Source organism: Homo sapiens, chromosome 7, assembly GCF_000001405.40.
Source record: "Homo sapiens chromosome 7, GRCh38.p14 Primary Assembly".
NCBI lineage: Eukaryota > Metazoa > Chordata > Mammalia > Primates > Hominidae > Homo > Homo sapiens.
The window spans coordinates 73,147,490-73,167,791 of record NC_000007.14 but is presented as its reverse complement, the minus strand read 5'-3'; the positions used below and the strand labels follow the sequence as shown (position 1 = coordinate 73,167,791).

The window sequence follows — 20,302 nt, the reverse complement described above, 5'->3', positions numbered from 1 at the left end:
GCTGAGGCAGGAGAATGGCGTGAACCCGGGAGGCAGAGTTTGCAGTGAGCCAAGATCTCACCACTCCACTCCAGCCTGGGTGACAGAGCCAGACTCCATCTCAAAAAAAAAATGCTTTTCAAAAAGTTTCAATTTAGCACCGTAGATGGCCCACAGGGACCTTGGACACCCAGAATCCCACTGGCCCAGAACGGATGCAACTGGGCTGGTTTCTCATACTGCAGATCTGTTATAAGAGAAAACCTTTCCAGCCGTGTGCAGGCTCAGAAGAGAGACCAATTAAACCTTTTACAAGGTGTTTTTTTGTTTTTTTTTTTTGAGATGGAGTTTCACTCTTGTCACCCAGGCTGGAGTGTAGTGGCACGATTTCGGCTCACTGCAACCTCTGCCTTCCAGGTTCAAGCGATTCTCCTGCCTCAGCCTCCCCAGTAGCTGGGATTACAGGCGCCCACCACCACATCGGCTAATTTTTGTATTTTTGGTAGAGTCAGGGCTTCACCTTGTTGGCCGGGCTGGTCTCGAACTACTGACCTCAGGCGATGTACCCGCTTGGCCCTCCCACAGGTGCTGGGATTATAGGCGTGAGCCACTGCGCCCAGCTACAACTGACTTTTTTGATCCCTGGGAGATGAGTCAACACCAAGGGACGACCAGTCCTAAGCCCTGGACATGGACCTGGGGGTGAGGACAGAAGGGGATCAGGACCAGCCCTCTCATCCTGCACACTGAGGCATGGGTGATCCCAGGAAGCCACTCACCAGGCACCAGGGTGGCTTCCTGGAGGAGAGGATGCCGAAGCCGACCTCAAGAAGTGTCTGTGTTAGGTTTAAGGACTCACAAGACTTCTCTGGCTGGACTAAAGGTAGGGTGATCACATGGTCAGGTTTGCCTTATTGTCTGCAGGTTGTTGTTGTTATTATTGTGATGATGGCGATGGAGGAGGAGGAGGAGAGGGAGGGGGGGGAGGAGGGGGAGGAGGAGGGGGAGGAGGAGGAGACAGGGTCTCATTATGTTGTCCAGGCTGGAGTACAGTGGTGCAATCTCGGCTCACTGCAACCTCTACCTCCTAGGCTCAAGCAATCCTCCCACCTCAGCCTCCTGAGTAGTTGGGATCACAGGCAGGCGCCATCATGCCTAGCTAATTTTTCTGTATTTTTTGCAGAGTCGGGGTCCCACCATGTTGCCTCCGCTGGTCTCCAATTCCTGAGCTCAAGCGATCAGCCTGAAGTGCTGGGATTACAGGCGTGCTGGGATTACAGGCGTGAGCCACTGTGCTTGGCCAATCTAGTAATTATTTAAAGTACTTCCTGCTATTCTAAAAAAAGTTTATTCCCATCTCAATGATAAATGGCAGGGTCATTTCATTCCTTATCTGTTGCTACATAACAAATTACCCCAGATCTTAGTGGCTTGAAACAACAACAAACTTTTATTATCTCTCACAGTTCCTATGGGTTAGGAATTTAGGTGTGGCTGAACTTGGCAGTTCAAGGCATTGGCTGGGGCTGCAATCCATTGGAAGGCTTGCCTGGGGCGGAAGGATCTGTTTTCAAAGCCCCGAGCTGCCGGTTGGGGGTGGGATGCCTCAGTTCCTCTCCATATGGGCCTCTCCATGGGGCTGCTTGGGTGTCTTCAGGCCTTGGGGGTTGGTTTCCTACAGAGCAAGGGATCTGGGAGAGAGGGAGCACCACGCAGAAGCCATCCTTTCGTGCCCTAGCCTCGGAAGTCTCATGGTATTGCTTTTACCATCTCCTAGTGACTTAGAAGAAAGTAGCCAAGACAGACATTTAAAGGAGAGGGGGGTGGAGGGATCCCAGGTTTTTTTTTTTTTTTTTTTGACATGGAGTCTGGCTCTGTCGCCCAGGCTGGAATGCAGTGGCGCGATCTCGGCTTCACGCCATTCTCCTGCCTCAGCCTCCTGAGTAGCTGGGAATACAGGCGCCCGCCACCACGCCTGGCTAATTTTTCTATTTTTAGTAGAGACGGGGTTTCACCGTGTTAGCCAGGATGGTCTCGATCTCCTGACCTTACAGGCGTGAGCCACTGCGCCCAGCCAATCCTAGCTTTTAAAACCACCAGCAGCTGGGAGCAGTGGCTCATGCCTGTAATCCCAGCACTTTGGGAAACCAAGACGGGAGGATCACTTAAGGTCAGGAGTTTGAGACCGGCGTGGACAACAGAGTGAGACCCCCTCTGTACAAAAAATCTAAAAACTACCACGGTTGGCCAGGCGCAGTGCTCATGCCTGTAATCCCAGCACGTTGGGAGGCCAAGGCGCGCAGATCACTTGAGGTCAGGAGTTCAAGACCAGCCTGTCCAACCTGGGAAAACCCATCTAAATTAAAAATACAAAAAATTAGCTGAGCATGGTGGTGGTACCTGTAACCCCAGCTACTCAGGAGGCTGAGGCAGGAGCATCACTTCAACCCAGGAGGCAGAGGTTGCAGTGAGCCGAGATCGTGCCACTGCACTCCATCCTGGGCAACAGAGTGTAACTCCATCTCCAAAAACAAAAGCAAAACAAAACAAAACAAAACTACCATGGTTACCTAAAATAGGGCATGTGTTGGGAAGGGAGTAGACAGAGCCAGAGTGGATAGACAGAAGACATCTGATCAAGAAAGATTCAGGCCGGGAGTGGTGGCTCACGCCTGTAATCCCAGCACTTTGGAAGGCCAAGGTGGGTGGATCACCTGAGGTCAGGAGTTCGAGACCACCCTGGCCAACAAGGCAAAACCCCGTCTCTATTAAAATACACAAAATTAGCCAGGCATGGTGGTGCACGCCTGTAATCCCAGCTACTCAGGAGGCTGAGGCACAAGAGTCACTTGAACCCAGGAAGCAGAGGTTGCAGTGAGCTGAGATCACGCCATTGCATTCCCGCTTGGGTGACAGAGTGAGACCCTGTCTCAAAAAACAAACAAAACCAACAAGGCAGAGATGTGGCCAGGGCTTCTGAAGGAATGCATGAAGTCCACCCAGCACCCACTCCAGTTGTGTCCCTCCATCCTCCCAGACTACCCCCTGCCCCTGCACTCCCAGCCATGCCCCCTGTGTGGGCCTCTGGTCCTCTCACCCTCTACCTTTGCTGGAGAACATACAGGACTCACGTCTTTTCCTCCCATGGGACAGAAACTCCTTTCGCGCTTCCTATCAGGCCCTGCCTACCGCAGGTATACACTGCGGGGTTTCTCAGTGAACAGAGCATACCAATTTGCACCCGCCACAGGACAGTGGCTTGTTCCCTGCAGACAACTTACTCTTTCAGCCTCCAGGCGTTTGCTCCTCCAGCCCAGAGGGATGGGGCAGCAATGAGCATTTGAGCCGCCCTAGAAGCAGGAGGCAGGAGGCAGGAAGATATCTGGATAGTTCAGGAAAGAGATGAGGAAAAAGGAAAAAGGCATAGGAAAAAGATTTGGGAGCTAGGGTTGAGCCAGCCCCTTTCTCTGGGCAGCAGCAGACTATGGCTGTCCTGAGTGGGCACACGCAAGGCTCTGGGGCTCACCCCGTACCCTCTTCACCTATACCCCTCCCCTGATCCATCTGTAGCCACCCACTCCTGTTCCCTGCTTGCTCATCTTGCTTTAACCCCAGCACCTCCTGACATTTTCTCATGCCAGCCATCACCCCATTCTTGGCTCAGATGGTGCTGCCTCCTCTAGGAAGCCTTACTGGCTTGCAGCTCTGTGGTCCTAGAGCATTTTGGCTGCCCCTGCCAGAGGCCTGACACCTAAATGACAGGTGAGGTCCTTGGCTTAATTCTGCGAGAGCAGTGACAGCATCTCCACTTTCCAGAATCAGGATGCGATTATGTGTGTGTGTAGTCTTCTAAGCCTGGGCTTTTCTGGCTCTGCCCTCACAAACTGGTGCTGGCCAGTGGCCCCAGGGCCTTCCCAGTTAATGCTTAATGGCTGGGTACAGTGGCTCACACTTGTAATCCAGCACTTTTGGAGTTCCAGGTGTCTTTATTAAAAATACAAAAATTAGCCAGGCATGGTGGTAGAGACCTGTAATCCCAGCTACTTGGGAGACTAAAGCAGGAGAATCGCTTGAACCTGGGAGACAGAGGTTGCAGTGAGCTGAGATCATGCCACTGCACTCCAGCCGGGGCAACAGAGCAAGACTCTGTCTCAAAAAAAAAAAAAAAAAAAAAGCTTACTGGAGCTTCTAGTGGACCAGATACTCTTGAGAGTGCTTGACGTGGTTTATCTCATCAAGCCCTCACAACCACTTACGTTACAGGCATGATCATCATCTCTGTTTTACAGGTAAGAAACATAGCACAGAGAGGTCAAGCAACTTGCCCAAGGTCACACAGCCAGGATGAGCAGTGCTGGGATTCCAGCCCAGGTGTCCCAGGGCTCTAACTCCCTTGGGATAGCCTGTCTTTCCCTAAACTGCAATTAGACAGTGGCCTCAGCCCAATGTGTTGCGAGGAATGAGGGCTCTGCATGGACTTTTTGCAATTTTAAGCTTTTCTCTCATAAATACCTCGTAAGACGTTAGTGTTCACTGGCCGGGCATGGTGGCTCACGCCTCCCAGCACTTTGGGAGGCCCAGACGGCCAGATCACAAGGTCAGGAGTTCGAGACCAGCCTGACCAACATGGTGAAACCCCGTCTCTACTAAAAATACAAAAATTAGCTGGGTGTGGTGGCATGCGCCTGTAATCCCAGCTACTCGGAAGGCTGAGGCAGGAGAATTGCTTGAACCTGGGAGGCGAAGGTTGCAGTGAGCCGAGATTGCGCCATTGCACTCCAGGCTGGGCGACAGAGCAAGACTCTGTCTCAAAAACAAACAAACAAACAAAAAAAAACAAAAGACTTTAGTGTTCACCATGGCTCGTTTGCAAGATTTCCTGCATGTAGGAACACGAATGACCCAGTGCAGGCCAAAACAAACCAGAGACCTGCATTCAGCAGATCCGGCCCAGGAAGGCAGCAGGAAGTTTCCATGGGCCCATGCTTACTGCATACTTGCCTGTGTAGTTTTTGCCAATCCAATGGACTTTCTAGAATGGAATTTAAAGATAACAGCATTTCATGGGCAAAAAGGAGAGTGCTGCTTGGCTGAGCATGGTGGCTCACACCTGTAATCTCAGCACTTTGGGGAGGCCAAGGCAGGTGGAGCGTCTGAGGTCAGGAGTTCGAGACCAGCCTGGCCAACATGTTGAAACCCCATCTCTACTAAAAATACAAAAATTAGCCAGGCATGGTAGCTCACACCTGTAATCCTAGCACTTTGGGAGGCCGAGGTGAGAGGATTGCTTGAGGCCAGGAGTTCAAGACCAGTCTGGACAACACAGTGAGACCTTGTCTCTACTAAAAACAGAGTAAAATAAATTAACCAGGTGTGGTGCTGCATGCCTGGAGTCCCAGCTATTCGGGCGGCTGAGGCAGGAGGATACCTTGAGCCCAGGAATTTGAGGCTGCAGTGAGCTATGATGGTGCCACTGCACTCCAGCCTGGGCAATAGAGCTTGTCTCCAAAATAAATAAATAAAGAGATGTCTCCATAATAATATTAATAAAAAAACAGAGGGGACTCTGGGAGTAGGTTCAGGTTCCAGAGGGGTTGGGGTAAGCCAGGCAGATGGGGCACACCGGGATCCCACCTAGATCTGGGGTCACACAGCGGTCTGTGCACAGTAATCTCTCTGCCCCTCACACCTAAGTCAGCCTCCAGGCCTGTCCCAGGTAGGTCAGCTACGGGACTGAGTGCCTCAGTCCTACTGTGCACATGGCCATTGCCCACAGCTTCTGGGTCCCCCACCTCCCTGTGGCGGAGAGCATCCATCCGGATGGCAGGCCCCACCTTGAGTGGTGAATCCTGATTGGTCCATGATGGTCTCATTCCCTGTGCCTGTGATAGGCTGAGGCATGTTCATGTGACCCAGTTCTGACCAATGAGATGAGGAAGTCTGTGCTGGGATAGGGGTACCCCCAGAAAGGTTAGCTCCTTCCTTCATGGAGTTTCCTCCTGACTGCCCAGGATGCCCGGAGCCACCCCAGCCATCACAGTGGGGCTATGCTTCTGTGCCATGGGTAGCCAAGCATAAATTGATGACCTCATCAAGCCTTTAAGTTATCCAAGCCTGGGGCAGCCCAACCCATAAACTCTGATCACACAAAGTTCAAACTTCTTATTGGTTATGTCCTGGCTTTCTGTTGTTTGTAGCTCAAAGCATCCTTGCTGGCTGGGCGCAGTGGTTCACGCCCGTTATCTCAGCACTCTCGGAGGCCAAGGAGGGAGGATTACCTGAGGTCAGGAGTTCGAGACCAGCCTGAGTAACACGGCTAAACCCCGTCTCTACTAAAAATACAAAATTAGCCGGGCATGGTGGTGGGTGCCTGTAATCCTAGCTACTCCAGAGGCTGAGGCAGGAGAATTGCTTGAACCAGGGAGGCGGAGGTTGCAGTGAGCCGAGATTGTACCACTATACTCCAGCCTGGGTGACCAAGTGAGACTCCATCTCAAACAAACAAACAAAAACCACAAAGCATCCTTGTTGATAGCCCCTGGTTACATTTCTTCTTCTTTTTTTATTATTTTTCAGAGACAGGGTCTCTGTCGCTCAGGCTGGAGTGCAGTGGCACCATCATAGCTCACTGCAGCCTCAAATTCCCGGGCTCAAGTGATCCTCCCACCCAAACCTCCTGAGACAGGTGTGCACCGCCATGCCTGGCTATTTTTTAAAAAGTTATTTTAAAAAATTTTTTTTTGTGGAGATGGGGTCTTGCTTTGTTGCCCAGGCTGGTCTCAACCTCCTAGCTTCAAGGGATCCTCCAACCTCAGCCTCCCAAAATGCTGGGATTATAGGCAGGAGCCACTGGGTCTGGCCTTATCGTTTTGAGTTAAGCCCGTCCTACCAGAAGAAGAGTGAGCCCAACGTGCCCTCAGGGAAGCTGAAATGGAATCTAGAAGGATGCACGGGGAAGAAAGGGGTAAGGCAAGAAGTAATACTCTGGGCAGAAAGAACAAAGGCCTGAAGGCTGGAGGCACGCTAGGGTGTGGCTGGAAGCTTCGAGGTGAGGCTGGAGAGACAAGGTGAGGTGGGCCACAGAGGGCCCTCAGCTAGGTCACAGAGCCTCAGGGTTACCACAGAGGACAAGGGAAGCTCATCGGACAGACCTACCCAGGGTCTTGCCTTCTGGCTTTATGCTGAGAATAAGTAAGCACATTCCTCGCCTAGTCCAGCCACACCCAGATGCTCCTCCAAAGGTCCTGGGCAGAGGCCTGGTTCAGCAGACCCGGGACAGGGTCGCTGGGCTCTGCTTCTAGCAGGTGTGATCCTGCCTTCTACAACGACATATCTTCCAGCCCCAGGGCACTCCTATGAGACTCTGGCAAATACTTGGGTTGAAATCTGGGTCACTCTGATGGTCAGAAATCCATCAAACAGACGTTTACTAAGTGCCTACAAAGCAGGGTGCTACACGCAGCGGAGACGGGACCTAGTTCAAATCCCAATTCTGTTTCTTTCCAGCTGTGCGACCTTGCCATTGTACTTCTCCAAAGCTAGTGTCTTCACCGCTCTGCAAAATATGGCAAAGTCAACGGTAGCTCTCATCACCACTGGTAGGTACTGTGGTGATGTGGTGGGAAGGGGTGGATCAAATCATGCACAAAAAACTTGAAGGTTGATAATCTAGGTAAGAGAAAAAGACAAGCCAATAACATGTTGTTATCGGCAAAAGTTGAGAAATACGCAAGGTGCCCGGAAGAAAGTATCTGAGATAGGCTCTAAGGCTCTAACGAAGTAGAATGTCTAAGCAGGTCGCGGTGGCTCTCGCCTGTAATCCCAGCATTTTGGGAGGCCGAGGTGGGTGGATCACTTGAGGTCAGGAGTTCGACACCAGCCTGGCAAACATGGCGAAACCCAGTCTTTACTAAACATACAAAAATTTACCGGGCGTGGTGGCGCACGCCTGTGATCCCAGCTTCTTGGGGTGGAGGTTGCAGGGAGCTGAGAACACACCACTGCACTCCAGCCTGGGTGACAGAGCAAGACTCCGTTTCAAAAAAAAAAGGAAGTAACCGTCTAGATGGGAGTGATAAGGACCAAGTATCCCTGGGAGAAGAAAACAGCTCTGGTAGCAGATCACTCAAGCCCGGGAGGTGTAGGCTGCAGTGAGCCGTGATCACGCCACTGCACTCCGGCCTGGGTGACAGAAGAAGACCCTATCTCCAAAAAAAAAAAAAAAAAAAGAAAAGGCCCACCAAAGCCAAATAGGCAGGAATACAGAAAGGCCAGCATTTCAGTTCTGTGCTCCTAAGCCTTTCAGAACACTGTGCTGTAGACAGAAGGGCTGGACATAACCATTCAATGGGGGCATCTCTTGCAACCTACAATAGCAAAATCTCAGAGCTTGTGCCAGAAAGGTGCAGATTGGCACATTTAAATCCCGGATCTATCACTTCTTGCCTGACCTTGAGCAAGTCACTTAATCTTTGAACCCCAGCTTCCTGGTTTGCAAAGCAGGTTTAATACCTAATACACAGAACGTACCTGGGGGTCCTGGGGTCTAGATCCTCTCTTCCAACTAGTTAACTCCAAATGTGAGCCACTGGCTTTCCTACTTCAAAAGCCCTAAGGGCCAATGGCTCATGCCTGTAAGCTCATGCCTGTAACAGTTTAAATGTTATGTCCGCACGCACCTCTGACAGGCTGAGGTGGGAGGATCATGTGAGGCCAGGAGTTCAAGGCCAGCCCGGGCAACACAGTGAGACCCCCATCGCTACAAGAAATTTAAAAATTAGCTGAGTGTGGTGGTGCGCACCCGCAGTCCCAGGTGCTTGGGAGGCCGAGGTGAGAGGATTGCTTGAGCCTAGGAGTTCGAGGCTGCAGTGAGCTATGATGGTGCCACTGTACTTCAGCCTGGGCAACAGAGACCCCATCTCTTAAAAACAAACAAAAAAAAGCTCTAAGATCTAGTGCCACCTCCTACAGGTAGGCACCCGGCGTTCTAGGTACCCTGCTAGACCAGCCCTTCCCTGACTCCACCCTGCTGTAGAATGATGGCCTCTTTCTTTCTCTTCCACCAGGCTCTAGGGCTTGGCAGAGGAAGGGGCAAGGTATCTCTGCATCCCTTGGACCCAGCCACACCCCAACACAGAGTGAATGTTTCCTAATGCCATTCCCTTTCCACAACTCCACTCCACGAGAGAGAAGTGACTTAAGCCTGCTAAGGAGCGGAGGGAAAAGTTCAGGAAGGTTTCAGCATGCTATCATTAGCGCTATCATTAGCTCTTGAGGACTGAATAGGAATTTACTAGGGGTGGGTGGGGGAGAATATTCCAGGCAAATGGAAGAGAGGTAGATACAAAGGCACAGAGGTATGTAGGGAACAATAAGGGAAATTGTGTATTTGCTGGGGGAGGGCTAAAGATGAGGATTCAAGGCCAGGAGCAGTAATCCCAGGACTTTGGGAGGTCGAGGTGGGAGGATTGCTTGAGCCCAGGAGTTGGAGGCTGTATTGATCTATGATGGCGCCACTGTACTCCAGCCTGTACGACAGAGCAAGACTCTGTCTCTAAAAGAGAAAAATAAAAAATAAAAAAAATAAAGATGAGGATTCAGGATCTAGATCCCAAAGGGCCTCGAATGCCATGTCAATGATTTGATGCTATAGAGTGACTGACAAAACTGTAAACGGGCCGGGCGCGGTGGCTCACGCCTGTAATCCCAGCACTTTGGGAGGTCGAGGCCAGTGGATCACCTGAGGTCGGGAGTTCAAGACCAGCCTGACCAACATGGAGAAGCCCCGTCTCCACACCAAATTAGCCAGGTGTGGTGGCGCATGCCTGTAATCCCAGCTACTCGGGAGGCTGAGGCAGGAGAATCACTTGAACCCAGGAGGTGGAGGCTGCAGTGAGCCGAGATGGCGCCATTGCACTCCAGCCCGGACAAGAGCAAAACTCAGTCTCAAAAAAAAAAAAAAAAAAAAAAGTAAACAGGTGGCACAGGGACCCTCAGGGCATGCTGTGCTAGTCTGGGCTAAACTTAGGTTTTGGAGAGGGAGGTGACAGAGCTATGGGTCACCACCTAGGGGCAGGTATTGCAGGAACAATCTAAGGGGTTCTACCTGGATGGCTGATTATTGAAAACAGTTTAAATGCTATGTCGGCAGGCTGCAACCCATTAACACTTGCTAAAAAGCCATTTCCCACAATCGTCCCACACCATCCACACAGCAGTTCTGTGTCCATGAGGGGGCCAAATAGTGCTATCTCTATTTTACAGACGGACGAAGTGTGAGCCAGAGGAGACAGACTTCGCCTCAGCCAGGCAGGCAGGGGGCTGTGGTCACACATGACCTGAAGCCATGATCTGGGCTCAGAGTGCATGGGGTGGCAGGTCCTCAGGCATTTGACGAATGTTCCGCACCTTCTGAGGCCGGACCATGGAAACACAGCGATGGCCTTTGGCCTCTGAGTCATCTTGAAACTGGACTAGTCAGCTGGGTCACCTGGGCCTGGGACAGGACAGGCTGCTTTCTGCAGGAGGGAGGAAGGGGGACCCACTGAGGGACAGGTCTTCTTGTGTTCCCAGAGGCCAGCAGGGGGGCTTGACCCCAGAGACACGCCTATCCATGAGTACCCAAAGGGGATCCTGAGTTGGGGGCTGGAAGAAGGCCAGTCTCTCCACCAAGGGAAAGGGGCTGAGGGACCCTGCCCTTTGCTGCCTTTCTAAGAAGCCCCCAAATGCCCCCCGCTTCCAGCACCCAGGCCCTGTGCACAGCCGCAGCCTGAGTCATCATTCTCATTTGAATGGTGGCCGAGAAATCAGCCAGGGGGCTGCCCAGGGCTGAGGGCCAAGGCTAGGAAAAACAAGGCTGTTCTGTTACCTCCAAGCTTTGGAACGTCAAGCCCGGCTAGGGAGTGGGGGGCAGAGGGCAGGCAGAAGCAGGATCTGAAGGTGTCAATAGCCAGAGGGGGCTTTGTGTGAGGGGTGGGGGCGCGGTTCAGAATCCGAGCTGTTGGCTTTTGTTTTCAAATGACCTGTTTAATCATTACCCTTTGCAATCAACGGGGAGCACAGGCTCCGTGGCAGAGGCTTGGCGACTATTTCAAATCTCCATCCCCTACTGAGCAGCCGGAGACGAAAGTAAACAAGATGCCACCGGCAGGTCTGGCTCCATCTCGCAAACAATAGCCGGACTGAGCACCCGGCTCAGACACACACATCAAAGTGAGATTTCCAAGCAAGAACTTTTCACAGGCAGATAACAGGCTGGAATTATTTCCCTGTGTCCCTAGAGCTCAGTGCCAAAGGGGGCAGCCTAAGGGGGCTGTCATTTTCACGCTAACCTTGACCCGAAAAGTATTCATTCATTTTGCAGTGAGGGAGAGCCACCACCGCCCCAAACCGCGAAAAACCAACCAGTAACAACTTTATCATTCCTTTTTAACAGTCACAATGGTGGGCAAATGAGACTTAAGTTACAGCAGCTAGCTGGCACTCACACTCCCCTCGGCTCAGGCTCCTTAAACAACAACAACAAAACCCTAATGCAAGCACCCACCGGGGCTCACAATGTCAAACCCTTACCTGGCATAGGGAAAATCCAAGTGAGAGAGACAGAGAGAGAGAGAGAGAGAGAGAGAGAGAGAGAGAGAGAGAGACAGACAGAGAGAGAGAGAGAGAGAGAGAGTGTGTGTGTGTGTGTGTGTGTGTGTGTATGTGTGTGTGTGTGTGATTCCCTCTTTTACCTTCCAAGGCCTTCAACTATTTTTCCCCCTGCAGCATCCAAGCCCAGCCTCAAGGCAGATGCATAAACATGCCTGCTCCTCCCCTTCTACGGTTGGGCAAAACACCCCCCCACCCCCTTTCCAGGACCCCAAGGAGAAAGAATCACGTCCTCTGCAGCCCCTCCCTGGCCCTCGCCCACCCCCCGTTTCCCCCCCGCAATTCCAGGCCGTCCGCAGCAAGCCTCGTAGGCACCTTGAGATAAACACCCACTAATGATTTTATGATTTTCTGCTCTGGGTAACCGCGCTCAGCGGAATCCCTCCCCCCGCCGTGGCGACGGGGCCGGCCCAACCGAGGGATGGGGGGATGGGGGCGTTTGTTTTTTCCACGGCCTCGTCCCCACACCTGTTTTTCATTCATTCATTCGTTCGTTCCTTCATCCATTCACGGATCCGTCACTGCAGCCGCCCCAGCCCCCCGGATTTCGGGGAGGGGGCTGCGATGGGGGAGGGGGTGGGAGATGGGGGGACGACAGAGGTGGGGGGTGGCGCACCGGGGGGTGGAAGGTTGCGAGGGGTCCGGGAGCCAGGACCCTGCGGCTCCGGCTTTGTCAGACGCGAGCGAAGCGGCGGCGGGGGCGGGGCGGGGGCGCTCCCGGGGCCCGAAGTTGTTTTCCGAGGCGCGGCGGCGAGGACAGCGGCCCGGGGTGCGCCCCCTTTGTCTGTCCCCGGCCGGCGCCGCGTCCCCGCGCGCTTACCTGGTCTTGGAGGACAGGAAGGCAAGTTTGATCAGGCCGTAGGTGAACAGCGGGATACTCTCCTTGGCGACGCTGGCAACTTGCAGCCGGTGCTCCAGGATGTGGAGTTCCATCGTCCGCCCGCGCCCCGTCCGCGGCGGCTCATCCGCGGGGGGACGAGCCGCGGCCCCCGCCCCCTCCGCGCCCTGCCGGCACCGACAGCCGGCCCGGAGACCCGGGAGCTCGGCGCCGGGCGCGGGGGGCGGCGGCGGCCGGGCCGGGCCGGACAAAAGGGAGGAGGCCCGCCAAGTTGCAAGGGGGAGCCGCGGGGCGAGGGAGGCAGCGCCGGCAGAGCAGCAGCCGAGGGGCCGAGCGGCGGAGCAGCGGCGCGCGGCGCCCGGCGCGGGGGGAGCAGCTGGTGTTCGCTGTAACAAACAACTTGCCACTCAAACGCCGGTCCCCGCTGCGCATGCGCGGCCCGCGCGCGGCCTGCCGGGACTTGTAGTCCGCCTGGGGGGGCTCCCCCGGTGCTGCTGCTGCTGCTGCTGTTGCTGCTGTTGCTGCCGCGGGGGCTGGGCGGCCGGAGCTACCGGCAGCCCGGTGCACGGGAAATGCAGGAGCGCGGGCACCCTCAGGACTAAGGGGAAGGCCGAGGGGAGGCACGGGGCGGGTGGAGCCAGCCTGAGCCTAGGCGCGCCCTCTGGCACCCAGTCAGGCTCGGTACTAGGTGCTTGGAGTGTAAAGCGAGCAAACCAGACGACTCCGGTGCTGGAGAAGGCCCGAGTCTGGGAGCGCCAAGATGTAGGGCAATCGGTCATGAGAGTGCGGAGAAGCCAAACCGAAAAGCTTGCTGGGGACCCGGAGGGAGGGGATTGACAGGTCAAAGGGGGTGACCCGGGGGAGGGGACACTCAGGCTGGGTTTTGAAGGATGAATGGGAGTTCCTAGCAAGAGAGTGAGGGCGCGCGGATGGAGGACAGAGGCCTTCCAAGCTGCAGGAACAGCGTGTCCTAGGGCACAGAAGCGTGAAAGCCCCCACGGTGCTGTGTTTGGCTTTGTTGCAGCGGAAAATGTGAGGGAGGAGAGAAAAGAGATAAGGCAGGCATAGTCACCAGGAGTCAGGTCGGGAGGGTCATGTGTGCAGAGCTAATGAGGTGGCCATTTATCCCACTGGAGAGGGGGTGATGGGGACTGCGAAGGGTGAATTCGGGGAAAATGTAAAGTGCGTCTGAGGCACTTCCAACCCCAGGGCCCACGCGCCCGGACCACAGAGGTTCCTCCTTCATGGCTGTCTGGTTTTGAAATGTTCTGGGTTAAAGTGATTGGTGCTTCCACCTTTGGCAGAGTAATCTGGGGACGCGATGGGTGAGATCTATCTGCCAGGGCAGGCTGAGAACTCTTTTTCAGGGGAAAATTGCAGTTGTGCTCCCTCACCTTCCCTCAGCCCTCCTCTGTTAGGTAGGAACATACTAGGTTTTGTCATTTCCACAAAAGGGTGAAAAGCCTGTAATCTGTGGTAGATAGATCTTAGAGCATGCATATCCCCCTCCCACTTTATTTTCTTTTACTCTTTTTCTTTTATTTATTTATTTTTTAGAGACAGGGTCTTGCTCTGTTGGCCAGGATGGAGTGCAGGGGCGCAATCATAGCTCACTACAGCCTCGAACTCCTGGGCTTAAAAGATCCTCCCACCCCAGCTTCCCCAGCAGTTGGGACTACAGTTATGCCTGGCTAATTTTTTTTTTTTTTTAACTTTCTTTTTTCCCCCCCGAGATGGAGTCTTGCTCTGTCGCCCAGGCTAGAGTGCCATGGCGCGATCTTGGCTTACTGCAACCTCCTCCCCCTTGGTTCAGCGATTCTCGTGCCTTGGCCTCCCAGCTAGCTGGGATTACAGGTGCTGGCCACCACGGCTGGCTAATATTTGTATTTTTCGCAATGTTGCCTAGGCTGGTCTTGAACTCCTGACCTCAGGTGATCCACCCACTTCGGCCTCCCAAACTGCTGGGATTACAGGCATAAGCCACCATGCCTGGCCTTTTTTTTTTTTTTTTTTTTTTTTGAGTCGGAATCTTGCTCCATCACCCAGGCTGAAGTGCAGTGGCACGATCTCGGCTCACTGCAACCTCCCCCTCCGAGGTTCACGCCATTCTCCTGCCTCAGCCTCTCGAGTAGCTGGGACTACAGGTGCCCGCCACCACACCCGGCTAATTTTTTTGTATTTTTAATAGAGACAGGGTTTCACTGTGTTAGCCAGGATGGTCTCGATCTCCTGACCTCATGATCCGCCCGCCTCGGCCTCCCAAATTGCTGGGATTACAGGCGTGAGCCACCACACCCGGCCTTTTTTTTTACTTTTTGTAGAGAGGGGTGTCTCACTATGTTGTTCAGGCTAGTCTCGAACTCCCAGCCTCAAGTGATCCTCCAGCCTCAGCATTTTTTTTTTAAAGCTTATCTGTCTCTCCCCTACACAATCTCAACTCCACAAAGGCAGTGATTTTTGTCTGTTCTCCGCTGTGTTCCCATTGTCAGCAATAGTGACTGGCCTATGAGAGACACTCATTCAATATTTGTGGAATGCATCAATGCACCTATCTATGCCTTTAGAATCTAGAGATCCAGAAATCCCAAACAGAAATGCATTCAGGGGCCAGACAGATTACACAGATGTGTGAAGCAGTTGGCTATCAGATAGTTGGAAATGTGGCTGGGCGCGGTGACTCACGCCTGTAATCCCAGCACTTTGGGAGGCCAAGGAGGGTAGATCATTTGAGGTCAGGAGTTTGAGACCAGCCTGACAAACATGGTGAAACCTCGTCTCTACTAAAAACACAAAAAAATTAGCTGGGCATGGTGGTGCCTTCTCCTGAGGCAGGAGAATCGCTTGAACCCAGGAGGTGGAGGCTGCAGTAAGCTGAGATCGCGCCACTGCACTCCAGCCTGGGTGATAGAGTGAGCCTCCATCTCAAAAAAAAAAAAATGTTGGAAATGGTACAGGTGAAGGGAAGTCTGCCTGAAGGCATAAAATTCAGTTTCTTAAAAAAAAAAAAACAACTGGCAGGGTGCAGTGGCTCACAACTATAATCCCAGCATTTTGGGAAGCCAAAGCAGGCAGATCACAAGGACAGGAGTTCAAGACCAGCCTGGCCAGCATGGTGAAACCCCGTCTCCACTGAAAATACAAAAATTAGCCAGGCATGGTGGTGTGCATCTGTAATCCCAGCTACTTGGGAGGCTGAGGTAGGAGAATCACTTGAACCTGGGAGGCAGAGGTTGCAGTGAGCCAAGATTGCACTACTGCACTCCAGCCTGGGCGACAGAATGAGATTCTGCCTCAAAAAAAAAAAAAACACAAAAAACAAAACAACAACAATAAAAAAAAGCAGGTGAAACAAAACAAGGCTAAAGGCAAGATTTGGCTAGTTTTCTGACTTCTGCTCTGGATGGCCTAAGGTAGCATTTTTCAATCTGCAGACTGTGTATGACCCATGTAGTGGATGGTGAAATCAATTTAGCAGGGCATGGCAATTATTTAAAAAAATAATTAAACAGGCTGGGTACAGTGGCTGATGCCTGTAATCTCAGCATTTTGGGAGGCCAAGGCAAGAGGATCTCTTGAGGCCGGGAGTTTGAGACCAGCCTGGGCAACATAGCAAGACTGCTCATCTCTACAAAAATAAAAATATAAGAAACTAGCTAGATGTGGTGGCGTGCACCTGTAGTCCTAGTTACTCAGGAGGCTGAGGTGGGAGGATCCCTTGGGCCCAGGAGTTCGGAGCTGCAGTGAACTATTATTGTTTTTTTTTTTCTTTCTTTCTTTTTTTTTTTTTTTTTTTTGAGATGGAGTCTCACGCTGTTCCCCGGGCTGGAGTGCAGTGGCACAATCTCGGCTCACTGCAACCTCTGCCTCCCAGGTTCAAGCATTTCTCCTGCCTCAGCCTCCCAAGTAGGTGGGATTACAGGTGCCTGCCACCATGCCCAGCTAATTATTTTTATTTTTATTTTAGTAGAGACGGGGTTTCACTATGTTGGCCAGGCTGGTCTTGAACGCCTGACCTCTTGATCCACCTGCCTCGGCCTCCCAAAGTGCTGGGATTATAGGCGTGAACCACTGTGCCCGGCCGCTGTGAACTATTATTGTACCACTGGACTCTAGCCTGAGTAACAGAGTGACATCGTCTCTTCAACAAAATGGAAAAATTCCCGGCAAAAAAAAACACAAAAAAAATTTTAAATAGACTAGAAAATGACACAGTGTTGCATATAAAATGGGTAGGTTACTATCATCTTTTCTATACCCCAGGGCACTTTAATCTTGTCCATGTGTGTAAGGGGTGCGTGCCTGTGTGTGTCTGCCTATGTGCACTAGAACTTGATATAAAGGTATGTTTTACTGTGGGTCTTGGTAAAAAAAAAAAAATATATATATATATATATATATATATATATATATATATATATTTTTTTTTTTTTGAGACAGGGTCTTGCTCTGTCACCCAGGGTAGAGTGCAATGGCATGATCTCAGCTCACTGCAACTTCTGCCTCTTGGGTTTAAGCAATTCTCCTGCCTCAGCCTCTCGAGTAGCTGGGATTACAGGCGCGCGCCACCACCCACGGCTAATTTTTGTATTTTTTTGTTTGTTTTTGAGACAGAGTCTCACTCTGTAGCCAGACTGGAGTGCAGCATCATGATCTCAGCTCACTGCAACCTCCTCCTACCAGGGTCAAGTGATTCTTCTGCCTCAGCCTCCCGAGGAGTTGGGACTACAGGCATGTGCCACCATGCCAGCTGATTTTTGTATTTTTAGTAGAGGCAAGGTTTCACCATGTTGGCCAGGATGGTCTTGATCTCTTGACCTCGTGATCCACCCACCTTGGCCTCTCAAAGTGCTGGGATTACAGGTGTGAGCCACCACGCCCAGCCAATTTTTGTATTTTTAGTAGAGACGGGGTTTTACCATGTTGGCAAGGCTGGTCTCAAACTCCTGGCCTCAGGTGATCTGCCCGCCTCAGCCTCCCAAAATGCTGGGATTACAGGCGTGAGCCACTGTGCCTGGCCAAAACTGTTTAAAAGCATTGTGGGCTTTATATTTCATCAAGCCAGACTGCCATAAAGTTTGCAAATTTAGACCACCTTGTTTTTGACTTGCAGAATTGCTTTCGCTCAGTTGTATTTGGTGCTTAAGATTTCTGTGAAACTAACTTCCGAAATTCATGTTGGGGTGTTAAGGAAATTGACCTCTGAGTTGCCAAGTCCTGAGGATTCAGGCTGGAATTGGGGTGAAGCAAGTTGAGGCACTTTGGGCCCTGAATTTAAGGAGGTACTGGCTCCCAAGGTAACACAAGTGTTGGATGGGCACCGTCCTGGTAGAATTCCCTCCTCTTTGGGTTCCTTAGCACTGCCCTTTTCTGGTCTTTCACTGATTGACTCTAGGTCTGGCTATGTGATTTTCACGGCTTTGGCCAATGGGGTATTGGCAAATCTGCTCCCTAAGTCCTGTGCATTGGGACTTGCCCTCTCGGAAAGAATGCTGCCCTGAGACCATCACGCTGTAAAGAAGCTTGCAAGAAAGATCACATGAAGAGGTCCAGGTGTTCCAGCTGTGTCAGGCCTCTGCCAACAGCTAGCACCAACTACTAGAGCATGCTAAGATGTGAACGAGACCATCTTGGACTTTGCATCTGACTGTCTAACTGAGTGCAGCCACACACATGAGCCCAGGTGAAACCAGAACTATCCAGCCAACCAATAGAAACACGATGAATAAAAAAATAGCTGTTGGCTGGGCACAATGGCTCACGCCTGTAATCCCAGCACTTTGGGAGGCCAAGGCAGGTGAATCACAAGGTTAGGAGATTGAGACCATCCTGGCTAACATGGTGAAACCCCGTCTCTACTGAAAATACAAAAAATTAGCCGGGCATGGTGACGGGCACCTGTAGTCCCAGCTACTTGGGAGGCTGAGGCAGGAGAATGGCATGAACCCAGGAGGTGGAGCTTGCAGTGAGCTGAGATTGCGCCACTGCACTCCAGCCTGGGTGACAGAGCGAGACTCTGTCCCCCGCCCCCCCAAAAAATAGCTGTTGTCTGGGCACAGTGGCTCACACCTGTAATCCCAGCACTTTGGGAGGCCAAGGCGGGTGGAGCCCTTGAGGTCAGGACTTCAAGACCAGGCGGGGCAACATGGCAAAACCCCTTCTCTACAAAAAAATACAAAAATTACCTGGGCATGGTGACGCACGCCTGTAGTTCCAGCTACTTCGGAGGCTGACGTGGGAGGATCACTTGAGCCCAGGAGGTTGAGACTACAGTGAGCCGTGTTTGCACCATTGCATTCCAGCCTGGGTGACAGAGTGAGAACCTGCCTCTGACAAAAAAAAAAAAAAAGTTATTTTTCGTCATTAAGACTTGGAATGGTTTGTTGGGTAGCAATGGATATAGCTGACACATCCCCGCAGCCCTCACCTTCTCTCACTATGTGGGTGTACCCAGTCTCTGGCTTCTAATGTCAAGGGCCTCCAACTTGACACTTCCAGCTCAGAGTATGTTCTTAAGGCCCTCCCTCACTTATAGAACTTCCTAGTGGTTAGCTATGATGCATGGCAAACACATCTGGCAACAGTAACATCAGCATACCTTGAAAATGACCCCATGGTCTAAGAAGAGTATGTGTTGAAAGTTCTAAGCTAAGGAATCCAGGAGTGGCCAACCCGGAGATTCATTTCTTATCTATGAGGAACATCTGAACCCCTGGACCATCTAGGGGATGGTGGCCTTTGTTTGGGGTTAAATGAAGGTTGCCAGAGGGAGGGTGCTAGGGGGAGGGTGCTAAGTGGAAATGCTCTATAAACTGCATGCTTTTTTTTTTTTGTGAGATGGAGTCTTGCTCTGTCACCCAGGCTGGAGTGCAGTGGCGCCATCTCGGCTCACTGCAAGCTCCGCCTCCCAGGTTCATGCCATTCTCCTGCCTCAGCCTCCTGAGTAGCTGGGACTACAGGTGCCCGCCACCACGCCCAGCTAATTTTTTGTATTTTTAGTAGAGACGGGGTTTCACTGTGTTAGCCGGGATGATCTCGATCTCCTGACCTTGTGATCCACCCGCCTTGGCCTCCCAGAGTGCTGGGATTACAGGCATGAGCCACCGTGCTGGGCCCAACTGCATGCTTTTTATAAGCAGGTGTGGTTCTCCTGTTCCACCTGCCATGTCTGGACTACCCTGTAAGTCCCCTCAATAAACCCTATGTCTTGCTTGCTGGCCAGGCATGATGGCTCATGCCTGTAATCCCAGCACTTTGGGAGGCCAAGACAGGCAGATCACTTGAGGTCAGGAGTTTGAGACCAGCTAGGCCAACATGGTGAAAACCCCATCTCTACTAAAAATACAAAAAAAAAATTAGTTGGGTATGGTGGCATGCACCTGTAATCCCAGCTACTTGAGGGGCTGAGGCAGGAGAATCGCTTGAACCGGGGAAGCGGAGGTGGCAGTGAGCCAAGATCATGCCATTGCACTCCAGCCTGGGCAACTAGACTCTGTCTCAAAAAACAAACAAACAAACAAACAAACAAAAAACAGGCCAGGTATGGTGGCTTATGCCTGTAATCCCAGCACTTCGGGAGGCTGAGGCAGGTGGATCGCCTGATGTCAGAAATTTGAGACCAGCCTGGTCCACGTGGTGAAACCCTGCCTCTACTAAAAATACAAAAGTTAGCAGGGCATGGTGGTGAGTGACTGTAATCTCAGCTACTCGGGAGGCTGAGGCAGGAGAATCGCTTGAACCTGGGAGGCGGAGGTTACAGTGAGCTGAGATTGCACCACTGACTCCAGCCTGGGCAATAGAGTGAGATTCCATCTCAAAAAAACAAAACAAACACAGTAC

At 52.1% G+C, this 20,302-nt stretch overlaps 1 protein-coding gene and 1 pseudogene across 3 annotated transcripts in view, besides 5 other annotated features; one reads left to right on the top strand and one right to left on the bottom strand.

The window, feature by feature from the left end:
• The window catches only part of GTF2IP4 (general transcription factor IIi pseudogene 4), a 52,373-nt pseudogene extending 39,505 nt beyond the window's left edge, over window positions 1-12,868 (bottom strand). Inside the window, exon 1 of the transcript NR_003580.2 lies at window positions 12,449-12,868. The product of NR_003580.2 is annotated as a general transcription factor IIi pseudogene 4 (transcript). The remainder of the gene's footprint in view (window positions 1-12,448) is intronic.
• Window positions 2,309-2,923: an enhancer, noted in NCBI's record as "H3K27ac hESC enhancer chr7:74642901-74643515 (GRCh37/hg19 assembly coordinates)". NCBI's record gives its function as "activates a minimal SCP1, AML or CMV promoter by ChIP-STARR-seq in naive H9 embryonic stem cells {active_cell/tissue: H9 hESC(naive)}" and the evidence as "EXISTENCE:reporter gene assay evidence [ECO:0000049][PMID:30033119]".
• Window positions 2,887-3,390: an enhancer, noted in NCBI's record as "H3K4me1 hESC enhancer chr7:72578487-72578990 (GRCh37/hg19 assembly coordinates)". NCBI's record gives its function as "activates a minimal SCP1, AML or CMV promoter by ChIP-STARR-seq in naive H9 embryonic stem cells {active_cell/tissue: H9 hESC(naive)}" and the evidence as "EXISTENCE:reporter gene assay evidence [ECO:0000049][PMID:30033119]".
• Window positions 9,978-10,681: an enhancer, noted in NCBI's record as "H3K27ac-H3K4me1 hESC enhancer chr7:72571197-72571900 (GRCh37/hg19 assembly coordinates)". NCBI's record gives its function as "activates a minimal SCP1, AML or CMV promoter by ChIP-STARR-seq in naive H9 embryonic stem cells {active_cell/tissue: H9 hESC(naive)}" and the evidence as "EXISTENCE:reporter gene assay evidence [ECO:0000049][PMID:30033119]".
• Window positions 12,361-20,302, top strand: part of SPDYE10 (speedy/RINGO cell cycle regulator family member E10) — a 51,424-nt gene continuing 43,482 nt past the window's right edge. For both annotated transcript variants that reach the window (NM_001382505.2, NM_001382504.2), the window contains exon 1: window positions 12,361-12,469. The gene's annotated coding sequence lies outside the window, so the exon portion shown is untranslated. The remainder of the gene's footprint in view (window positions 12,470-20,302) is intronic.
• Window positions 12,759-12,868: a silencer, noted in NCBI's record as "silent region_18244". NCBI's record gives its function as "represses an Ori minimal core promoter by ATAC-STARR-seq in GM12878 lymphoblastoid cells {active_cell/tissue: GM12878}" and the evidence as "EXISTENCE:reporter gene assay evidence [ECO:0000049][PMID:35858748]".
• Window positions 12,995-13,767: an enhancer, noted in NCBI's record as "H3K27ac-H3K4me1 hESC enhancer chr7:72568113-72568885 (GRCh37/hg19 assembly coordinates)". NCBI's record gives its function as "activates a minimal SCP1, AML or CMV promoter by ChIP-STARR-seq in naive H9 embryonic stem cells {active_cell/tissue: H9 hESC(naive)}" and the evidence as "EXISTENCE:reporter gene assay evidence [ECO:0000049][PMID:30033119]".